Here is a 21,585-nt window from a genome sequence, read left to right as displayed (position 1 = left end):
CATCAAAACAGAATTTTTAAAGAAGTCTTATAAAGGAGAGAGAGCCTAGTCAGGTGTGGTGGTGCATACCTATAGTCCCAGCTACTTTGAGAGGCTGAGGTGAGAGGATCACTTAAGTCTGGGAATTCAAGGATGCAGTGAGCTGTGATTGTGCCAATGCACTCCAGACCTGGGAGAGAGAACAAGACCCCATCTGCTAAGAAAAGAGAGAGAGAGAGAGAGATCAGTCTGGCAGACAAGGCACCTATCTTGGCCCAGGAAAGTTGCTATTCAAGTACTAACTCTCTTATTTGCAAGTTGTATCAACATCAGCAAGTCTTTTCCTCTCTTTGGACCTTAGTTCTCTTATGTATAAAGTGAGGGAATGAACTAAATGATTCTGCCCTAATGTCTAGGTGGAGGTTAAAATCTGACAAGTGTAGGTCCACTGATTATCATTCTGGATACACTCTTGTGTCAGCTGGTCCCTGTTGTCTTTGAGCTGGAGCTATGATTGCATGGTACTGATGACAGGAAAGAGACAACATTCTTCTCCCTGTGCTACCATGTGCATTGGGGCCAATTGGTGTTGGGCCTCCACTCTTTACCTCCAGGCCTTTGTTTGTGCTCTTTTCGGTAAAAAGTTGTGACAAAGCAATCAGGAGCCTGGGCTGGTCAAGGCCTAAGGCTGAGAGAGCTTTAAGTTCTGTCTACTGCCTATAGTTGAGATGGACACACCTGGAAATAGGAGTACATACATCTTGGAGAAAGTGGACTGTGACTGAATTGAAAGAGCTCTCTCAGCGAATTTTGTTAACACTTCAGGATTGAAGCGACTTTGCTGCGGGATTCCACTTGAATAGGTGAGGGAGATAGGGATGAGGGAGAGGACTGAGGAAGAGAGTCTCTCTCATGTCTCAGGGGCATGACTGCCTGAGGGAGTCAGCAGAAGTCTGTAAGGATGCCAGGGTCAGCATGAAGCTTGATCAGAGCTGTGCATCTCTCTCTCTCTCTCTCTTTTGGCACCTGAGCTGGGAACTGCTGGCAGTAGTAATGGTAGATCTCTGGTTATCCCACCACCATGGATATTACTATGATCATTCCATGTAGCTAACCCTGTCACAGCCTACACCCCATTGGCTGTCTTGGGTTCAAAGGTTTCTTGTGTCAAGCATCAAGAATCATCAATGGATGGTAAAATCGCTGGCTAACAGATGGGGAGCAGCGGCTTATGTGGTCTAAGCAATGACCCTGCAGGTTATTTATTAATGACAAAAGGAAAAATGTACGTTTACTATGGAGAGATCTGGGGGACACTACCTTAACCATGTGCTCAAACTTAACATCCCCAATAATGAAACAATCTGACATAATGTGACTTCTGATATCAGAAGAGAGACACAATACCAACTATGTAGTATTCCTGCCAGAAAAGTTTAACCTAAATCTCATCATGAGGAACAATCAATCATACAAATTCAGAAAATGGGATGTTCTAGAAGTCAGGTGACATGAATTATTAAAAATGACATAAAAATCCATGTCATAAAAAGAATAGTTGGGGCAACTGCAGTAGTCCACACTTATCCTCAGTTCAGTTTCACTTTCTGTGGTTTCAATTACCTGTGAATTACCACTGTCTGATATAGGTGAGTACAGTACAAAAAGATATTTTGAAAGAGTCCACATTCACTTTTATTACAATATATTGTTATAATTTTTCTGTTTTATTACCAGTTATTGTTAACCTATTACTGTAGCTAATTTATGAATCAAACTTTATCATAGGTATGTACATACAGAAAAAAACAGTATATATAGGGTTTGGTACTATCCACAATTTCAGGTGTTCACTGTGGGTCTTGAAACATATCCTGTGTGGATAAGAGGGAATCACTGTGTTTAGGTGAAAGGTACATAATAAATGATTACAGAGAATAAACTGTAATTAGATCTAAGATTTTTTTTTAAAAAATGAAACTATGAAGTTAGAATGCTTAGGGGGACAACTATAGAAAATTTTGAATATTAGATGATATTAATAATAAGTTAGTATTAATTTAATTAATAAATTAGCATTAATTTTCTTAGATGAGATAATGATGTGATGTTGAGCTTCTACTCTTTACCTCCAGGCCTTTGTTAGTGCTCTTTTTGGTAAAAAGTTGCGACAAAGCAATCAGGAGCCTGGGCTGGTCATATGGAGAAATTGTGGTTACATAGAGCAATTCCTTTATTGTTAGGTGATGCATATTTAAGTACTTAGGAATAAATATTATGGTATCTGAAACTTCCGAATTCTTGAACAAAAAAAGTGTGTGTGTGTATGTGTGTGTGTGTGTTGTGTAGAGAAGGGCCAGAGAAATGTGGCAAAATGTGAACAATTGCTGAATCTAGGTAAAGGTCATATGGATTTTATTCTGCATTTTTGAAGTTTTTAAATATTAAAAGTGGGTAGAAGCATGCAAGGATCTGAAAACTGTCTCACTTAAAACTACCCATGTCTATATCTCTTTGTGAAGTTTAAAGTACCCCAGAGGTGCACAGTTAACCTTGCCATCCAAACATCTAACTTTCCTGCTTTTGCCTTTCTCATGCACTGCAGGTTAAGCTGTTGTCTTCCTGCTCCCAGAACATGTAGAATGTACCTTCTGAGAATGCAAAGATTTGCAGATTCAAGTTCCTGGAGAGACGTCTCCACTATTAAGGACCTCTAGATGAGAGAGGAGGGAGGAATGGTGCTAGAGAGCAGGGTAGTCTGTCTTGGAAGCTTGTTAGCAGAAAGTGTATAGAGGCCTCTGGCAAGTGAGATGATCCTAGAGGATCAGTTTTAGCAAAGACAGAGAGAAGATGAATTATTGATCTCCACTTTCTGGAACTTTTCTCCTTCCATTTTAGCATCCCTTCATTAAATATTCTCATTTCATTTATGTTTATTTTACTGAACTTTTACTAAGCGCCTGTCACATGCCAGGCAACAGTCTAGGCCCTGCATATACCGAGATGGATGAAAGACGATTCTTGTCCTCAAGCCACAACCTCACCTATTTCCAGTTTCCATCACACTGAGTGAAAAAAATAAAGTCAGACTTATTGAGTTGACCCTCTGAAGTCAGGTAGAAACAGGTGAAAACTAACTCTAAGGAGTGATTTCAGTGGCATCTTTTTTTTTTTGAGGCATCCTTGATCAGTAGGAGTGTGGGAGGTGGAGGCTGCTTTACACCCAGGGCTGGAGAGCTTCCTCAGCCCAGAGTCGCCAGTTGCCCCCCTCTGTCTACATATTACACTCCATCAGGGAAAGAATACCAGGCAAAGATAGCTGAACCCAGCTTCCAGATATTTGGGATAAGGAACAGACTGAAAGCTCTGGGAGAAAAAGCTATCTTTTTAGAGAACAGAAAATAGTTCTATCTCTTTAGACAACAGAAAATAGTTCCATATACGGAAATGTCTGTGAACCAAAAGGTCAAGTGAGTAGTTCAGAGCCTCCTATGAAAGTGGCTTGACCTACATAGGCCAGCTACCAAGGAAGTTGGCATCCTTTATTTCTGAGGTGTGTCTCTCTTTTCTTTTTACATTTTAATGATCCTGGATACTAACTCATTTCATCATGGTATTTAATACATTAGACTGAGAAGGAATGTATCTTTCCCATATTTTTAACAATAGGCCTTAAGGGGCTTTGAGCAGTACACTCCAAATGTTGATTTAACTATGAATGAATGATACTTATGACAAAAGAGTTAGGTTGCAACTATAAATCTTTAGACCTAACCTGTCAGTCCAGACCTAAGTAGAAAACCTGTGTGGGTATTTCAGATCATGCTTTGTTCTGGAATGACACTTTTATTACTGTGCTCCAATCTTAACTTTTATTGTCTGAATTCTGGCCAGGCTTTCCTGCCTGACTTGCTCCCTCTTCTCTCACTAATCTTACACTATCATTGTGCTGCTTTCAGGATTCCAGATATCTGGTAGTTTTCAGATAAAAGCTAATGAATGCGTATAATATCATGAGTATAATGAATATAATGTCAGAGATTGTTGTTGTTACATGGGAGGAAAATATTTCAAAGAATGAAGGAGGGCATGTTATACATCATCCATGCATAGGCTAGGTTTGTTGTTACTCTGTTATGTCACAATATTGCCATTTCTGTAATACCGTTTTGGAGACTTATACTAATACTTGTGTTTTATGGAAATTACAGGATGTCCTACAATTATTAAATTCACTAGGTCTAATTTATTTAAAGGATATTTTCACTGTCTTTGAAATCTTCTTTTTCATTTTGTCAATGCACGCAAACTAGAGAAATGAACTGAAGCAGTGATTTAATAATGCTACGAAGAAAGTTAAAGTTCTAACCAAATCCATGGAGAATTATAGCGGGCATAGTTTTCCACTTGAATTTCCCCTTCATTTTCCTCAGATAATGGAAAAAGGCTATACAACAACTAGATCTCACCTAAGAGGACAATTTACCTTGTGATTCAATGGCAACAAAATTGCCTTCAACCTCAGTGTTAAATTAGTATATCAGGTCCTATCTTATTTAATTACTTTCTACTATAACTGTGTTTTACAACAAAACCACGTTCAAAAAAGAGCTAAACAGAAATCAGTCACCTCCATCCAGGCAGAAAGGTTTTAAAATTGGTACAACTTTCATCTTCTGCTATCTGCTTGCCCTCCACACTGACTCTTCCTTTAGAAGCACTCTCAATAATTGAGGAAGGGGCCACATGATTCCCTGTGGTTCATATAATGGAGCAGAATAAGAGGACAGAATTACTTGAGCCACTAATAACCTTGCAGGGAAACAGTGTTTTTATGAACACTGGATGGGCACCAGAAACATGGAATAAGGGATTCCAGATAAATTCTCTTTTAAAGTTTTACTCTGTCACTTAGGCTGGAGTGCAGTGGCATGATCATAGCTCAGTGTAGTCTCAACTCCCAGGCTCAAGTTATACTCCTGCCTTAGCCTTCTGAGTAGCTGGGACTACAGGTGCGTGCCACTACACTTGGCTAATTTTTACAATTTTTTTTTTTTTTTTTTTGTAGAAATGGGGGTTTGGCTTTGTTGCCCAGGATGGCTCAAACTCCTGGCCTCATGTGATCCCCCTACCTTGGCCTCCAAAAGCACTGGGATTATAGGTGTGAGCCACCACATCTGGCTCCAGATAACAATTTAACTTTTTTCAGGGAGACCGTAGCTACAGATTGTTGTGAGCTCACTGTGTGCCAGGCCCAAAAGCTAAATATTTTACAAACCTTATCTGTAAAGCAGGTATAAAGTAGGTATTAACATACATTTTACAAAAGAAGACAGGAACTTTGAGAGAAGTTAAGTAAATTTCCCACTATCAAATACCTTGAAAGTCAAGGTGAGGTTTAAACTAACATTGTTGTCTCGACACCAGTGCTCTTCTAGTTGATGTTGATTTGCTCAGCATTGGGTCACTTTTTATAGTTGTGAGAGGACAAAAACTGTTACAAGATTTTGCCACATCCTTTCCAAACTCACCCACTAACAAGAGTTTTACCTCTTTAGTTCCATCACCTTTGATCTGGAAAACATGGAGAATACAAAGAGGAACATGCTGCTTGGATATGGGAGAAACATTTCAAAGAGTTTTGAGAAAGAGAAATGGGAGAATCTGTGGCATGAGGGGAAATTGGATAGTTGGATAGAAAAAGAAGGCAAGAATCACCCTTGTGGTATTTGAAAAACTCAAGAAACCATCTTGAATTTCCTTGGGATTATTTTTGGTTGCCGGATTGTGTCTCCTGAGACACAGTGTCCCCACGGAGACTCTTGCATGTGGGTCACGGAGAATAAACATAATATCATAAAGTTTAGCTGTTTTTATCTAGTAGAATTCCTAGTGGAGCTGGAGAATTCAGATTGGGAAGCCAGAGCTGCTCCCCAAGAAAGAAACCTCTGGAATAAGAGATTAAAATGTTTATCTCACGGTATAGTGGAAGGGTCCCCAAAAGAAGTGAAGAGCTCCCTCTCTGTGATCTCATAATTACTAGTAAAGCCAAAAAATTATAATATGCTTACTGAGATTGAATTTCTAGTGGAAAGTGGCAAACAGATAAATTTTGTGTTCAGATCAAAAGTGCCTAGGCCCCATGGCAGCACAGGAGATAAGGTGCCCTGGGGAAGTAAGAGTAGGGATTTATTGATATCATTATCTATTTCTATCAAAATAGAAGTTGAAAAAGAAAAAAAAATGGTTGTTGAATTAACACAAACTAAAACACTGGGGATTGGAGTCAAGTTTAAAAAAAACTCACCAAAGTCTAGGGAAGTTTCACATGATACCTGGGTTATCTTTTGGAATCACGACTGTGATATTTAAATGGAGGTGCATTTCCTTGCCACATCTCTGACAACAACATTCCATCACTCGGAATCGGAATCAAGCCAAGAGCATACCTTCACTGTGACAGCCAAGCTGTTGGACATGAGTGCCTCTGCACAGCCACGATGGTCCAGGTAATGTTGCCAAGCTTCCAAGTGTCAAAGTGCTCAGCTAAGACAATGAACCAAACTGAAAGTAGCAATCAAGCCTTTTAAAACTCACTGTAGCAATGCAAGCAAGCTGTCCAAAAGAGAAGCACTGGCTCCTCAGTATTCCACTTTTCTTCAAGGAAGGACACTGCTGAGGATCAGATGACATGCAGCTCAGACAGGAAAAGTCACCTCGCTGCTAAGGAGCCCAAAACTAAGGTCTCCTGCCTCTTTACGGACATGGAGGGCCAGGGATAGAGACAGGGAGAAAGGTTAGGAGTGAAAAAGTACTGAGTTAAAATGGAGAAAAGTGCCCTAACCAAGATCCCAAGTGAGGAGGACTTGGCAGAGCCAGATGATTAGGCAGAGCAAACCCAGAGATAAAGATGTGGGTGTAACCATTGGATACACATGGCCAGAAAGATGGGATCAATAGACACTGTGGACTACCAGGGCAGGGAAGTGAGGGAAGGGAGCAAGGGCTGAAACACTGCTTACTGGGTACTATGCTCACTACTCGTATGACAGGTTTAGTCATACCCCAAACCTCAGAGTCAGCATCATGCACTATAGCTTTGTAACAGACCTGCACATGTACACCCTGATAGTAAAATGGAAGTTGAAAAAACAAAAACAACAACAACAATATATATATATGGGCATAAATAGTTTATTTCATAGAGACAAAAAACACCAGCACACTCTCTAACATATAGTATAGCCTAGTATGTCAAGTATGTTTGGTGTGGACACAGGAGCAAGTTCTTTGTTTGTTTGTTTGTTTGTTTTTAAAAGGACAAGTGAAAAAAGCATTCTATGAGTAAAAACACCCAATTGTTTTGGTTATAGGAAAGGACTAGCCTCTTCTAGCAGGTCGTACATGTGTAGGAAACTATTTTGCTCCTCAAAAAAAGATGACCATGAAATGCTTTGGCGTGACAAGCTGTGGCAGTACTTGTAAGAGAGAAAGCTTGAAGAGGGAAGCTGAGGCGAGGAGGGCCACCACTAAATGATGCTTCTTTGCAGACAGGAGACAGTGACACAGAACAGGGCCTTGACTTTGAGCATATAGGAAATGGGGCAGAAGAAATTCGAATTTCCTTTAGGTCACTTTGGAATCTCTGCTGCAGTTGACGTTTTAACAACTTCCCATTCTGCAGCCTCCCAGGGCCCGCTGCGGACATGTACTAGTCCAGTTAGCCCCTTGAATAGCCAGATTTGAATGCTGGCAGTCCGGTTTAGAAAGCCAAGGAGATATTGTCCTCATGTCTAAGCAACCAAGCAGAGTAAGAAAGCAACCCCTGCAGAGGCTCTGCTGGTACAGAAGCTCCAAAGGTTCTTTGAGTTTTAAATTAATAATTGTTTTCAGAGATGGCTAGGCTGCGAACTATGTGTCCTTAGGACCCCTTCAAATTTATGTTTGACATCTCTCTCCTAAGCATGACTCATATTTGAAAGATCACCAAGCCTGCTTGAGCTGAAATATCTAAATTATGCAAGAGGATACTTGTAATGCCTTTCAAGCTAAATGGTAGTGTTCTGTCGACCTGGTTATTTCTCTTTGGATAATTCAGAAATTTTGCCTCCCATAGGTTTTATGTAAAAAAGAAAGCCAGAGCATGACAGCATTATCTTCTACGTGTTCTTTCCAGACAGGGAAAATTAAAGATTAGCCTACAGATTCGTGTGAATGACAAAAGGTATCTGGATATGCATAACTGCTATTATAAACAACCCAGATTCCTCCTTTGAAAAGTATACCGAAATGATTTGAATTTACTTAAAAAATTATTTGTTCCATTCTTGATAATTAACGTGAAAGGTCACATACTCTTGATTAAACGAAAGTATTACAAAAGTATTCTTAGAACAAAGGAAGTTAGTACTAAGAAAATGCGTTGTTCTGCTTTTTATAGCCTACTTTTCCTTGAACTGGAGAATGAGAGGTCCTGAAAACAGGGAACTAAATATCAAGCTAATTGTACTGATATGTGAACCCACATCTAATGGATTGAATAGGGGTAGGCTCTTAAAAACAACCATAGCTACTTGCTTTTGGTCTCTCTGTTTCATAACATTCCTAAGCTTTTCACTGGTTCATCAGTTATGCCAACATTCAAGCTCTACTAGCATTCTCCTTCCTAACAACACCAAAACGAGCAGCCAAAATACTTTGTGGCAGTTAGTGGGAATGTAAATTAGTACAGCCACTGTGGAAAATAGTATGGAGGTTCCTAAGGCAACTAAAAATAGAACTGCCATAAGATTGAGCAATCCCACTGCTGGATATACAGCCAAAAGAAGGAAAATCAGTATATCAAAGAGATAACTACTTCTCATGTTTATTGCGGCACTATTCACAACAGCCAACATATGGAAGCAACTTGTGTCTGTCAATGGATGAATTGACAAAGAAAATATTATATATATAAAACATATATATGTACATAATATATATATAAAACATATATGTATATAATACATATAAAACATATATGTATATAATATGTATAACATATATATGTATATAATATGTATAACATATATGTATATAATATGTATAACATATATGTATATTATATATATAACATATAAATGTATATTATATATATAACATATATATATATAACATATACACACACAATGCAATAATATTCAGCCATAAAAAGGAATGAAATTCTTCTCATTTGCAGCAACATGAATGCGCTTGGAGGCCATTATGTTAAGTGACATAAGTCATGCACAAAAATACAAATATCGCATGTTAAATTAACAAGCTATTTTTGCTCCAATGCCCATTTTCAGTTTATTCCAACTTTTTAATCTCCCACCACATCTCCAGGCAAATACACAAGGTGGAAAGATGTGGACAGTCATTCATTCCATAATCTTGTGCATGATGAGTGCTCTCTCATTTCTATGGAAAGTGGGGATGAGGCAGAGAGAAATGGAAGGTGAAAAGGGATTGAGGATGAGTAGCACAGGAGGAGAAAATAGAGACAGGTAGAGTAGGAGGAAACTGGGAAATGTGTCACCGTGGCTTTTATAAGCTATAAGTAAGCCTTGCTGTACCTGAGCGAACACACACACACACACACACAAACACACTACCCTTCACTCAACTTGGCTTTATACTTTTGTAAGGCTAAAAGCAGAGTTAAAAAAGAGAGAGACAGGCCAGGCGTGGTGGCTCACGCCTGTAATCCCAGCACTTTGGGAGGCCGAGGCAGGTGGATCCCTTGAGGTCAGGAGTTCGAGACCAGCCTGGCCAACATAGTGAAACCCCATCTCTACTAAAAATACAAAAATTTAGCTGGGCGTGGTGGCAGGTGCCTGTAATCCCAGCTACTTGGGAGGCTGAGGCAGGAGAATCGCTTGACCCCGGGATCCAGAGGTTGCAGTGAGCCAAGATGGCACCACTGCACTCCAGCCTGGGGGACAGAGAGAGACTCCATCTCAAAAAAAAAAAAAAAAAAAAAAAAGAGAGAGAACATGGATGGAGTTGGAGGGAGGCCATTATCCTAAGTGAACTAATGCTGGAACAGAAAGCCAAATACCACATGTTCTTACTCATAAGTGAGAGCTAAATAATGAGAACACATGAACACAAAGAGGGGAACAACAGACACTGGAGCCTACGTGAGGGTAGCGGGTGGGAGGAGGAGGGAGAGGATCACAACAAATACCTATCAGGTACATGTTTATCAGCTGGTGACAAAATAATTTGTACACCAAATCCCTGTGACATGCAGTTTACCTATATAACAAACCTGCACATATACCCATGAACCTAAAAGTTCAAAAGAGAGAGAGAGAAAGAGGTAAGTCTGATAGCAGACTATTTTGTCATAGAGTTGGTAAGGCTTATCTTTTTACTGAAAAAAGTCCTCTTCTTGACTAATACATTTTATGCTGCATCTTGAATAAGGTGTTTTCCCTAATTATGTAACCAACTGTGAGGAAGTAGTACTCTTAAAAATAATATATTTTAACAACATTGTATCTCCTAATGTCTTATACAAATATTTATTGAATGAATCAGTGAATGCAAGCTGAGTAGCATTAATATAAACACACGTGTACAGATGTAAGCATCTTTTAACGATGGTCCTTGGGTGCATAATAGCCACTAACAGCAGTTCCCAGACTTTGCTGCATGTTAGAGTTATCTGGAAAAATCCAGATGCTCAGGTCATGCCTTGTAATAATTGAGTTACAGATGTCTGAAAGTGGCAAAGAGAAACCTGTATTTCTTAAAGGTCCCCATGTGAATCCAGTGTGCAGCAAAGTTTGAGAACTCCTGTCCTAATTGATTTCTAACTCTGAAGGATAATTAACTATAATATGTAAATAACTTTGTTTGCATATATGATGCTCACATTTCTAACAAGATCACATATTTTTAAAAAGCTAGTCTTATATTAACATGCATTTCTAGTGAGTTTTTGATATTGTGAAGGTAATTTCAAAAGGATTAATAACTCAAAAACCCTTGAGTGTGCACTGCATGAGTTCGGCAGTGACATAGTATCTAGCATTGCTGTTGGCTAGTATTCCAGAGACTGGTATCCCAAAGAGCTTGTCTTCCTATGGTAAACACCATCTAAAGACAGAAGATGAAGAATCATGCAAGGAGGTAGAGGTCAACTGGGAAATAAGTAACAATTGAAAGAATGTAAAAATCAACTCACAGGAGAGAAATTATGAGTATATTATAGTCTTAGGAATTTAATAGCAGAATATAAGGTGACATGTTATATCCTGCCATGTCACTGTCCCCAGGACATGCCACTTATAAAAAGTAATATGAGGAGAATATGTAGGCTCATTACCTGATCACCTACTATTTTTAATCTGTTTTATTTTTAATTGGCAAATAATATTTACATATATTTATGGAGTACAAGGTGATGTTTCAATACACGCATATATTGTGGAATGATCAAGTCAGTCAAATTGGCATATCCATCACCTCAAATATTTATCATTTCTTTTTCGTGAGAACATTTAAAACGCGGTGGCTCATGCCTGTAATCCCAGCACTTTGGGAGGCTGAGGTGGGTAGATCACCAGGTCAAGAGTTCGAGACCAGCTTGACAAACATGGTGAAACCATGTCTCTACTAGAAGTACAAAAACTAGCCGGTAGTGGTGACATGTGCCTGTAATACCAGCTACAGGAAGCTGAGGCAAGAAAATCGCTTGAACCTGGGAGGTGGAGTTTGCAGTGAGCCGAGTGCACTCCAGCCTGGGCAACAGAGCGAGACTCTGTCTAAAAAAAAAAAAAAAATCCTCTCTTTTAGCTATTTTGAAATATACATTATTGTTAACTGCAGTCACTGTGTGGTGTAATAGAACATCAGAACTTACTCTTCCTACCATACACAGCATTTTACACATATTATCATGATTAATCCTGTCATTAATTCTATAAAATATTATTGTTTCCATTTTCCAGATGAAGAAATTGAGGCTGAAAGAGGTTAATTTCTTAAGATAATAGAGCCAGGATTCACATTCAAATCTAACAGGTTCTGGGATTCATATTTTCCATTGCACAGAAGCATAAAACATTGCCCTTCCCCTCTCCCCAATATTCCCTCCATATCTTCTTATATGGGTGGAAAATCTGTGTGCTCTGTGGGTGGCAACAGTTGGAGTCTTTAAGAGAGCAGGGTTACTAAATACTAACTTTAACCGGAACTGAGAACATCTGTTTCTGAGGGCTGCATTGTGTAGCTGGGTGGAGGCAGTCGTGTTGGTGAGGTTTGATCTCCTACGTTCAAGGAAATGGGAAAAGCTCAGCAAAAAGCATTTACTGATTTGAATGAGTTCCAGTGACTAGAGAAAATAAGCATCTCTGACATCAGTTTTTCCCAAACCCACAGCAGTTTAGTCTTCATACGTTCTTCCGGAGACCAGAGAAAATGTCTGTTCCCACATTTCCAAAAGCACTTAGGGAGGGACGATGCAGTCTGCCAGAAGTGGTTCTGCCTTTGGGACTGAGTCCCCTTCTGGGACATTTTTAGAACTTCCGCCCGCCATGTGTGAGGGCGGGTGGTGAAGTTCTGGTGGCCGGTTCTGAGGAGCTCACGTGACTCACTGCTGTGCCTTCTGTGGGTCTCCAGCTGCGCCCTTGACTTGCATCATTAGCTGTCCTCATCCAAGAGGTCTGAAGATTCATCAGACTGTAAGCTCGCACTCCATTTCCTTTTGATTGCATCATGTCATTAGCTTACTGAGAAGACAATGACTATTTCCAAGAGAAAGGTCCATTCTGCCACCACAGCTGTTACCAGTAAGCAGCTGGCACCCTGCTGGTAGGCAGGGTAGAGTCCTCTGTTGTGTATATAAGATGGTGGAGGAATTACTGAAGCAACTTCCTCACTTCAAGTTTCCTTGATTTTCATGATTACAATGGCCTTTACTTTCATTCTTCTCTATTTTTCTATGGTCATACTTGTTCTTTACATCAACTGGAGATGTTCTGCAGCAGAAACTAGTATGCTGTTTTCTGATCATAGCCTCTTCTCCCTTTAACTCTGTTATTCGTAAGATGTCACTTTAAGCAAATGAAGTTTACTAGTCCCTCTGCAACTGCCTTTTTTGCCCAAATGCCACCCCCTCCTACTTTACTTCTTTATGTGTGCAAGCTTTATCCATGAGGTATTGTTTAATCCACTTCATCCTCCTGCCAGAATCTCCAACATCCCAGCTCTCTTTTCTGCCCTAAATATCCAACCTGTAAGTACTAAACCTGGGTGCCATCCACCATCCAACTGTCTGCCTTCTACAACCACTTATTGAAACACACACACACACACACACACACACACACACACACACGCACACAGAGTTATGGGCATTGGTATTAGTATAATTGCTTGTATCCAACTTGAGTGGATATTCACCACCACTCCCCAATTTTTTTGTGTGTGAATGTGTGTGCCCCTAATAAGCTTCCTCTCTCAGTACTCATGGTGGACATTCCAGCAAGTTCTGGAATGGAGCACAAGGTGATGTTTCAATACATGTATATATTGTGGAATAATTAAATCAGTCAAATTGGCATATCCATCACCTCATATATTTATCTTTTCTTTTTGGTGAGAACATTTAAAATCCTCTCTTTTAGCTGCAAGTGTCTCTGCACACTTGTCCTAGAGAATAATAATGACTATTCTCTAGGGGCAAACTTCCTATCCTAGAACCTCTCTCCTATGCTGCCTCTTCAAGTCTCTCCTCCTGCACTCACCACTCCTTTTCTCTATTCTTAGGACAAGTTCTGATCTTCTCCCTATCCAGAAAAAAATCTCTTTATCTGTCCTCTAGACTCCATTCCTGCCTGCCTCTTCCAGGACCTTACTCCATTAATTACTTCATTTCTCTTCTAGAGTCAAACTTTTTCTCCAATATCGTTCATTTTAAAATTTAAAAAACAAAACAAAACTTCCTTTACTCTGCATCTCCTCTAGCAATGCTTATCTAGCAAACACATAAGGTATTGTTCCAATTTTTTCACAACTCATTTAATATTCACAGTGACACTATTAAACATTCCCTTTCTCAGTTTCATATTTGAGACATCTGAGACACAGAGAAGTCAAGTAACCTTCCTGAAGTCACCTAGTTTATTAATTAATGTCAGAGCTAGGAATCGGACCCAGGAAGTCTGGCCTAGAGGCCACCGGGCTGTTCCGTACTCCCCCTTCAACATTCTACCTCCTCCTTTTACTTCTCAACCAACCTTTTCAAAACATGGGCACTACTTACACTTTCTACATTGCAAATTGTCTTCTGTTTCTGCAGTCCTCTGAAAGTGTTGCTTAGGGACACTGGTGACTAACTTCCAGCTTGCTCAATCCAAGAGACATGTTTTTTCCCTTTCCTCTCCACTCTCTCGCCCTTTCTCTTGTTCCTTCAATGAACAGAATTAGGTCAGTCATAATCCTGGTTCATGCCATATTTATTATTGGTCATTCAATGCCCATTTACCTTTAGTTAATTTTGATAAAGTATTTTTAAAATATAGCAATGAAATAAAAGTCAAGGCCTCAAAAATAACCTACCCCTAACTATGCTCAAACCACCATTTCATTCCCCTTACTCCCTTCACCCAGGTAACTCATTATATTAAATGCTATGTTCATCACTCCTTTATTTTAGTTTTGAACATTTTTTAAAAGAGTATCATACTATGTACAATTCTCCTAGAAACTGTTTTCAATTAATGTTATATTGCTAAGATTCATCCATACTGTTGCATGTCAATTGATTTCATTAATTTTTACTGCTATATAATAACTAGTCAAATATATGCAAATATAACACATTTTATTCATACATTTTCCTACTGATGGACATTTGAATAAAAGACATCTCTAGACCTTATGTTATTACTCTGGTGTTTGGTGATATTTGTTGACATCTCCTCCCTTTTTGAAAACCACTGCTCCTTTTTCATTTTCTTCCAGTTCTTCTTTAATGTGACTGTTTCTTTGTAGTCACCTTCATTGACTCATCTATCTCCTCCTGCCACTTAAATATTGATGTTGCTCAAAGTTCTGTCTTTAGTTCTTTCACTTTCTATTTCATATGTTATTCTGATGCAACCATGGAAAGTGAAAGTCCATGGTATCTGTGTGGGCTGTGAGCTGTGAGTTTCTAAATTTATTTTTTTATTTTTATTTTTTGTTTTCATTTTTGGTTTTTTTCTTTTTTCTTTTTTCTTTTTTTTAGACGGAGTCTCGCTCTGCCACCAGGGTGGAGTGCAGTGGCATGATATCGGCTCACTGCAACCTCTGCCTCCCGAATTCAAGTGATCCTCCTGCCTCAGCCTCCTGAGTAGCTGGGACTACAGGTATGTGCCACCTTGCCCAGCTAATTTTTTTTATTTTTAGTAGAGATGGAGTTTCACCATGTTGGACAGGATGGTCTTGATCTCTTAACCTTGTGATCCGCCTGCCTCGGCCTCTCAAAGAGCTGGGATTACAGGTGTGAGCCACCACGCTGGGCCTCTAAATTTATTTTTAATCCTGCATACCTCTCCTGAGGCAGAGTCTTATATTAAACTACCCACCTAACTTGGCCTCAATTTTCTCACTTGTAAAATGGAAGGGACAATAATATCCACCTCTTGGTGATGACAGTACTGAAGGAGATGGCCTGTAAACTATAGAGTACAGCTTCTAGAACAAAGAAGGGTTTCACAAATGAAAACTATTTTATTACTATTGTTCTGTAGTTTACCACATGCGTTCATGTCCCAGATTTTCCTCAACACAGACAACAGAAATGTAAGGGCATCATGCAGGAGTGCAGTTGAAGTGGATGGTCAGAGACTACTGCCTCAGAGACTAGTCTTGGTAATTGCATATAGGCTGCAATTCTGGTCCCAAATGGGAAAATGAAAAATGCGCTGTCCTGTAGCCTAGCTATTCAAGCTTGCCTATCAGAACAGTGGGAGCCTCAAAAGGTGAAAGTAGTCTTTCCTTAATTTCCTTAAAGCTCAGCCCAAATTTTAACTATGGAAAGACAGAACATCAGGAGATGCCAGCAAATGTACCTAGATTAAAAGAAGAAACAAACTTGGATTCCAAATGCTTCAAATTATCTCAAAGTCATGACGTTTAACCATAATTTTCATAACCAGGCACAAGACGACTGAAAAAGTGGCCAGTGCTCCCATATCATTAGGTGCTAGTCAAGGAGGGTTATAAAGGATCTTTTCTCACTATTTCTTGCTATGAATTTGATGTTGTAAATGGATAGGCTACATTTATGACCTCGAGAAGACTTACACATGAATAAAATTTAAAGGAGCATCTGCTATGCATTTCTTCTCTTTTCCCAAACTGAAGCCTGATGGGGCCATAGACTCTGGCTGGGATGCAATATTGTAGAAGCCTAAGTTGATGGTCACTTGTCAAAGGGAATGATACAAAACATAGCAACCCGGTGAAATTTAAAAAAGGAAAAACACTTGGTTAACATTCACTTCTAAGACTTTGTCATAAGGAACCAATCAGAGATGGATACAAGAATTTACAAGCAAGCATGTTCATATCAGCATTGTAATATCAATAAATTGGTAACAGCCCAAATGTCCAAGAATAGAACATAAATTAAATAACTTCTGGTATAGCTATATGATTGAAAAAGAATTGCAACCAAATGCTAACATAAAGACATGTCCTTAACTGTAGTTATTGCCATGATAAAATACTTATGATATAATCTTAAGTAAGAAGAAAGCCATAAAGCAGAATGTAGAAAGTAATGGCAGTTTGGTAATGAAAAAAAAGTATATATATATATATGAATCATTGGGGGGATATAGCAAAATATTAGTAATGGTGGTCTCTAAGAGGTGTGATTGCTGGAGATATTAAATTTTTTCTGTATTTAAAATATCTTATTTACATTATTCATTATTAATATAATTTTATAATTAAAATCTTCAAAATTAAAACATGAAACATAAAGAAAAAAATAGCTGGGCAGAAGGTGAGTTTATAGGCACAAAACAGAAAGGATGAAGAGAAGAAAGACCTTTAAAAAGGGAGCACAATTCAAAGAGGCAGAAGTTGGAGCAACTTTCAGCTGAAAACAGGGTATCAGCAGCCTCAACTCTGGTCAGAGAGGGGAACACCTGCTCATATTATTATGCCAGAATATATGGGGAATATCAGGTCATAGAATTTGACTGTCTAGGACTCCTATCAAAAAGTCTAGCTGGTGAATTGGAACATGCATATGTGAGAGTTAAACTATTTGTTAATAGCATACAATAGTATTAAAAGCACTTCGTTTCTAGAAAAGGAAGGGGAGTAACGGGAACAAGGAAGCACAATAATAGCATAACATAAACCTGCCTAACATGATTCATCCCAAATGCTCTCTAAACTTTTCAGAGTTAAAATTCGGTTTGTCCGGTGGGGAGGCATATATCTGTCTATGAGTGTGGATGTGTGTGTGTGTGGATGTGGATGTGGATGTATTTGTGTGTGTGTGTGTGTGGATGTGTACATGCATTTGTTGGGGGATTATTTCCAAAACATTTTCTTCGGAAGGTAAGTGGTAGGGACAAGATCTTGAACTGGTGTAGCTGCCCAAGAAAGTGGTGTGGCTCTACTTATATCAGATGAAATAGACTTTAAAACAAAAATATTATTAGTGATGAAGACCATCACTATATACAAATGAAAGTTTCAAATTACTAAGAATATAGAGCAATCTTAAGCATATATGCATCTAATAAAAGTATTGCCATAGATAAAGCAAAATTGATATAATTGTAGGAATAAAATTATTAACTCATTATCATAGAAGGTGATTCAACATATCACTCTCCATTACTAAGTTAGACACATCAATCAGCAAAGATATAGAAGATCTAAATAATACAAAAAAACCATTTTTGATCTAATAGGCACATGTAGATTTCTACATCTGATAGAGAAAATACATTTTTTTCAAGTACACACAGAAATTGATCATGCACTAAGCCATAATGAAAGCCTCCACACATTTCAAAGAATCAGAATCACATAGAGCATGATTTCTGACCACAAGTGTAAGTTACAAATTCATTTTAAATATATTAATAGGTAAACCTCACATACTTAGAAAAAAAAAACAAATTTCTATATAATTCATGGTCTATAAAATAAATTATAATAAAGATTTTCAAAGACAGTACTGTATAATATTTTAACAGACTAACAAAATTTGTAGCTATAGAAAAAAATGGTGTTTTGAAGAAAAGATGTAACCATAAATAATTGTATTAGAAAACCAAAGGAAGAATTAAAAAAAAAAGAGCTAAATGTGCACCTTAAGAGACAAGAAAAGAAATAAAATAGAATAAACCCCCAAAAGTAGAAGGAAAGATATAATTAAAATAGCAGTAGAAATCAATGAAATAGAAAATAAATATATAATAGAGAAAAACACAAAAGAAAAAGGGTGGTTTTTTTTTAAAGAAACTAATAAAATAGACCAAACTCTGAGAAGATTAATCACAAGAAATTAGAAAAAGCACACATTAATAATATGGAAAAAAAGAGAATATGCAACTACAGATATAGCAGAGAGTTAAAAAGATAAGGTAATATTATTAACAATTATAAGTGAACAACTTTAAAAACTTAAACAAAATGAAGAAATTACTAGAAAAGTATGATAAACCAGAAATGACTCAACATGAAACACAAATGTTTATCTATTTCCAAATTGTTTATGTGTAAGAGCACTTTCTTCCTACAATATCGACTCCAATCTAAGTTTCTGGAGGGTAAGAGATAGCTATGAACAACTTGGGCAACAGAATAAAGAGCTATCAACAGGAAGTAGGTAGACTGGAGGTGGGGGGTGGGGTAGGTCCTAAGCAAAGTTTTGAAACATAGATGGGCATTCATACTGTAGGATGATCAACAGGTGAGATGCTGGCTACCACCCATGGATGCTTCTCGAAGGAGTACAATGCGAAGGAAAACCCATGCAGCTCCCCAGCTGCATACATGCAACGTCCTCAAATGGAGATCCTAAGGTTGATGGTTTCAAATTCAACCCCCACAAAATTTCCTGGTGTTGGCAATTAGTGATGTTTAGTTGCATGAATGCATGAACGTAGATTGCTTCTTCATGTTGACTTCACTCCTCGATTTATGCTTTCCCCTTTCTTGGAATCTCTCTTCTCTCCCCATTCCCCATTCTCGGTCTAGTAGATGTTAGGAGAAGGAGGAAACAGTTCCTCTATTCTTCCAAATCTTTCAGTTTACAGCTTCCCCTCAGTTTTTAAATTCACAGGCCAGAGATGCTGCTTCTGTGGTTTTTCTCTGAGACTTTACCCTACCTAAGGCAATAGGTGACACATGATGTCCTAGGCAAGAACAGGACTGGGATAACCTCAGGATTTGGAAGGAGAGGAAGCAGGGGGAAAAGGAGCACATCTATTAGTCATTTGGAGTAGCTTCCTGCCACATGTGTAAATAATAGCTAGAAGACAAAGTGTCATGTGCCACAATAGAAACATGTAAGAGATCATTTGGAACATTACTGAGAGAGCCAGGAAACATTAATCAATTTTAGTGTTTTACGTTTCTTTAAATAACTTCATCACATGCTACATATTAGGTCAAGTTTTAAGATCAACAGGCCCCCTTAAGTTATAAGACTGGAGACCACTGGTTCACCTAATGCAACTTTATCTTCATTTTTTATTTATTGACTTATTTGTTTGTGTCTTTGTCAGAGAATTAAGAAGACTGGTCTATTTAAAACTTGTTCGTCAAGCAACGTGCTCATCACAAGCTTCTCTAAATGGATGGTACATCAAAAGACATTTATTTGAACAAATTTATTTGGAGAAAAATTCTCTTTGGGAATTTGGAAATAATTAGATTTAGGTGTTAGGTATCTTGGGAATCTTAATTTTGGGGATAAAATTTTCCATTTCTTGGAAAGAATGTGGCTAAAAGGCACAAATTATTTGTGATTTCACCCATGGAGGAAAAATGCAAAATGCACTAAATTATCTCAAATGTTTTCTTGGCATGGAGACAAAAATCTAGATATGTTTAAGCATCTGGATGACCAAGAGAACTATTCATCTCCGTTGCAATTATTCATATTATTCTGTCCTTTCACCACGATTTCTAATCACATCAGGAGCTCAAGGCAAAGGGACAAAATTTGGTTAACAGACATTTTTATGTAATTACGGTGGGGGTAATGTGCCTTAGGAAGGGGAGAAGACAGAAGAGGTCTTGTCTGGGAGGTTCAGTAATTGAGAATGAATGGAATACTGAAAGCAGATTTTTTTCCTAGAGCAAGTCATGTCCATATAAACTATGTAAGTTATTTTCTAGCCTGCTTCTACTTTTTTATATACTGCCATGACTTGCATTTTGTGTCAGGGCACAAGAATTTTTAAAAATACTTGGTGTTCAAGACCTTATTCTTGAATTCTTACTGCTGTGCCTCGACCCTGACATACCCTGTCTCTCTTTTTGAAACAGTTTTCTGTTTTTGTTCCTCTTTCTAATATTGGACTGTTGATATTCAGACTCCTCCTACTCCACCATTTTTATTTCAGTTTGGTCTCCATACTTCCGACTTTAAAAACATTTTTTTACCGTGGATTTCTGCTTTTGGTTTAATTATTCCATGAACAACTCTGTGAGTAATGATGCTTGTTTGCTTGTTTTGGTCGGGACCGAAGCCATGTCTCACTGTGTGTTGCACACACAGGCAGTTCCATGGGCAAGGCCTGGCCCTGAGCTGGGCCCAGGAATGGATTGCACAGTGGTTTTAAACCCACCACAAGCCATTCCCAGTTTGGGTTGGCAAAAACTTGTTCCAGGAGATGAGCTACACCCGTGGTCTGACTTTCACATGTTAACAATTATTTGCAGAGGAAACTTGCCCTAAGATGTGGTGCAAATAATACTAATCTATGTCAATCTTGGAAAAAATAACTCTACTTGTACACTGGACTGAATATAGGTCAGTTGTCGAAATTTTGGCATTAAGACAATTGACAACTGAGCATTCAGACAATTTGAAAATGGAGCAAATTCCAAACTCTAAATTATTATTTTCTGAGCTAAAAAGGTAAGATGCATATTAAAGCACTTCCCTGATTGATATAAGGAAGTGACATTGATTCTAGGAGAAAGAGAAGACCGTCTTCCAGAGGCACTGGATGTGCTAAGTGCTTAGATGTACATGTGGTATAACTTAGCATTCATGACCTTAATTTCTACAGTTTTCTGCCAGTGACTATCTGTCACATGTAGTAATTAAAAGTTTTAAATAATATGCTGGAGAGAATCACCCAGCTCTGAAGAGTCTGGGCCATTTCCCAGTCTAGGCAGCTTAAGTACCCACGAGAAAATAAGTTCTATGAGGACACAAACTGATTCTTTTTCATGATTTTATCCCTGGCACCCATCACAGTGTTTAACATGATAAATACCTGCTGAATAAAAAAGAATTCTGATGTTGCTGCTTATTGCTTGCCACCATATAATTCTTGTCAAGTAATACACTCTCTGTTGTAAAAATGACCTCGAGGTAAG

The 21,585-nt window shown here is 38.3% G+C and overlaps 1 long non-coding RNA gene across 1 annotated transcript, besides 2 other annotated features; it reads left to right on the top strand.

The window, feature by feature from the left end:
• Positions 12,541–13,073: an enhancer, noted in NCBI's record as "OCT4-NANOG-H3K27ac hESC enhancer chr10:90846353-90846885 (GRCh37/hg19 assembly coordinates)". NCBI's record gives its function as "activates a minimal SCP1, AML or CMV promoter by ChIP-STARR-seq in primed H9 embryonic stem cells {active_cell/tissue: H9 hESC(primed)}" and the evidence as "EXISTENCE:reporter gene assay evidence [ECO:0000049][PMID:30033119]".
• LOC124902552 (uncharacterized) lies at positions 12,595–21,518 on the top strand. Its single transcript, XR_007062379.1, has 3 exons — positions 12,595–12,692; positions 15,242–15,362; positions 19,758–21,518. It is a non-coding gene; the product is annotated as an uncharacterized LOC124902552 (long non-coding RNA).
• Positions 14,954–15,153: an enhancer, noted in NCBI's record as "active region_3734". NCBI's record gives its function as "activates an Ori minimal core promoter by ATAC-STARR-seq in GM12878 lymphoblastoid cells {active_cell/tissue: GM12878}" and the evidence as "EXISTENCE:reporter gene assay evidence [ECO:0000049][PMID:35858748]".
• Positions 21,519–21,585: the final 67 nt, after the last annotated feature.

The sequence above is a fragment of the Homo sapiens genome, chromosome 10 (assembly GCF_000001405.40).
Source record: "Homo sapiens chromosome 10, GRCh38.p14 Primary Assembly".
Lineage (NCBI taxonomy): Eukaryota > Metazoa > Chordata > Mammalia > Primates > Hominidae > Homo > Homo sapiens.
The sequence above is the reverse complement of the archived record's forward strand: the minus strand, read 5'-3'. Positions and strand labels throughout refer to the sequence as shown.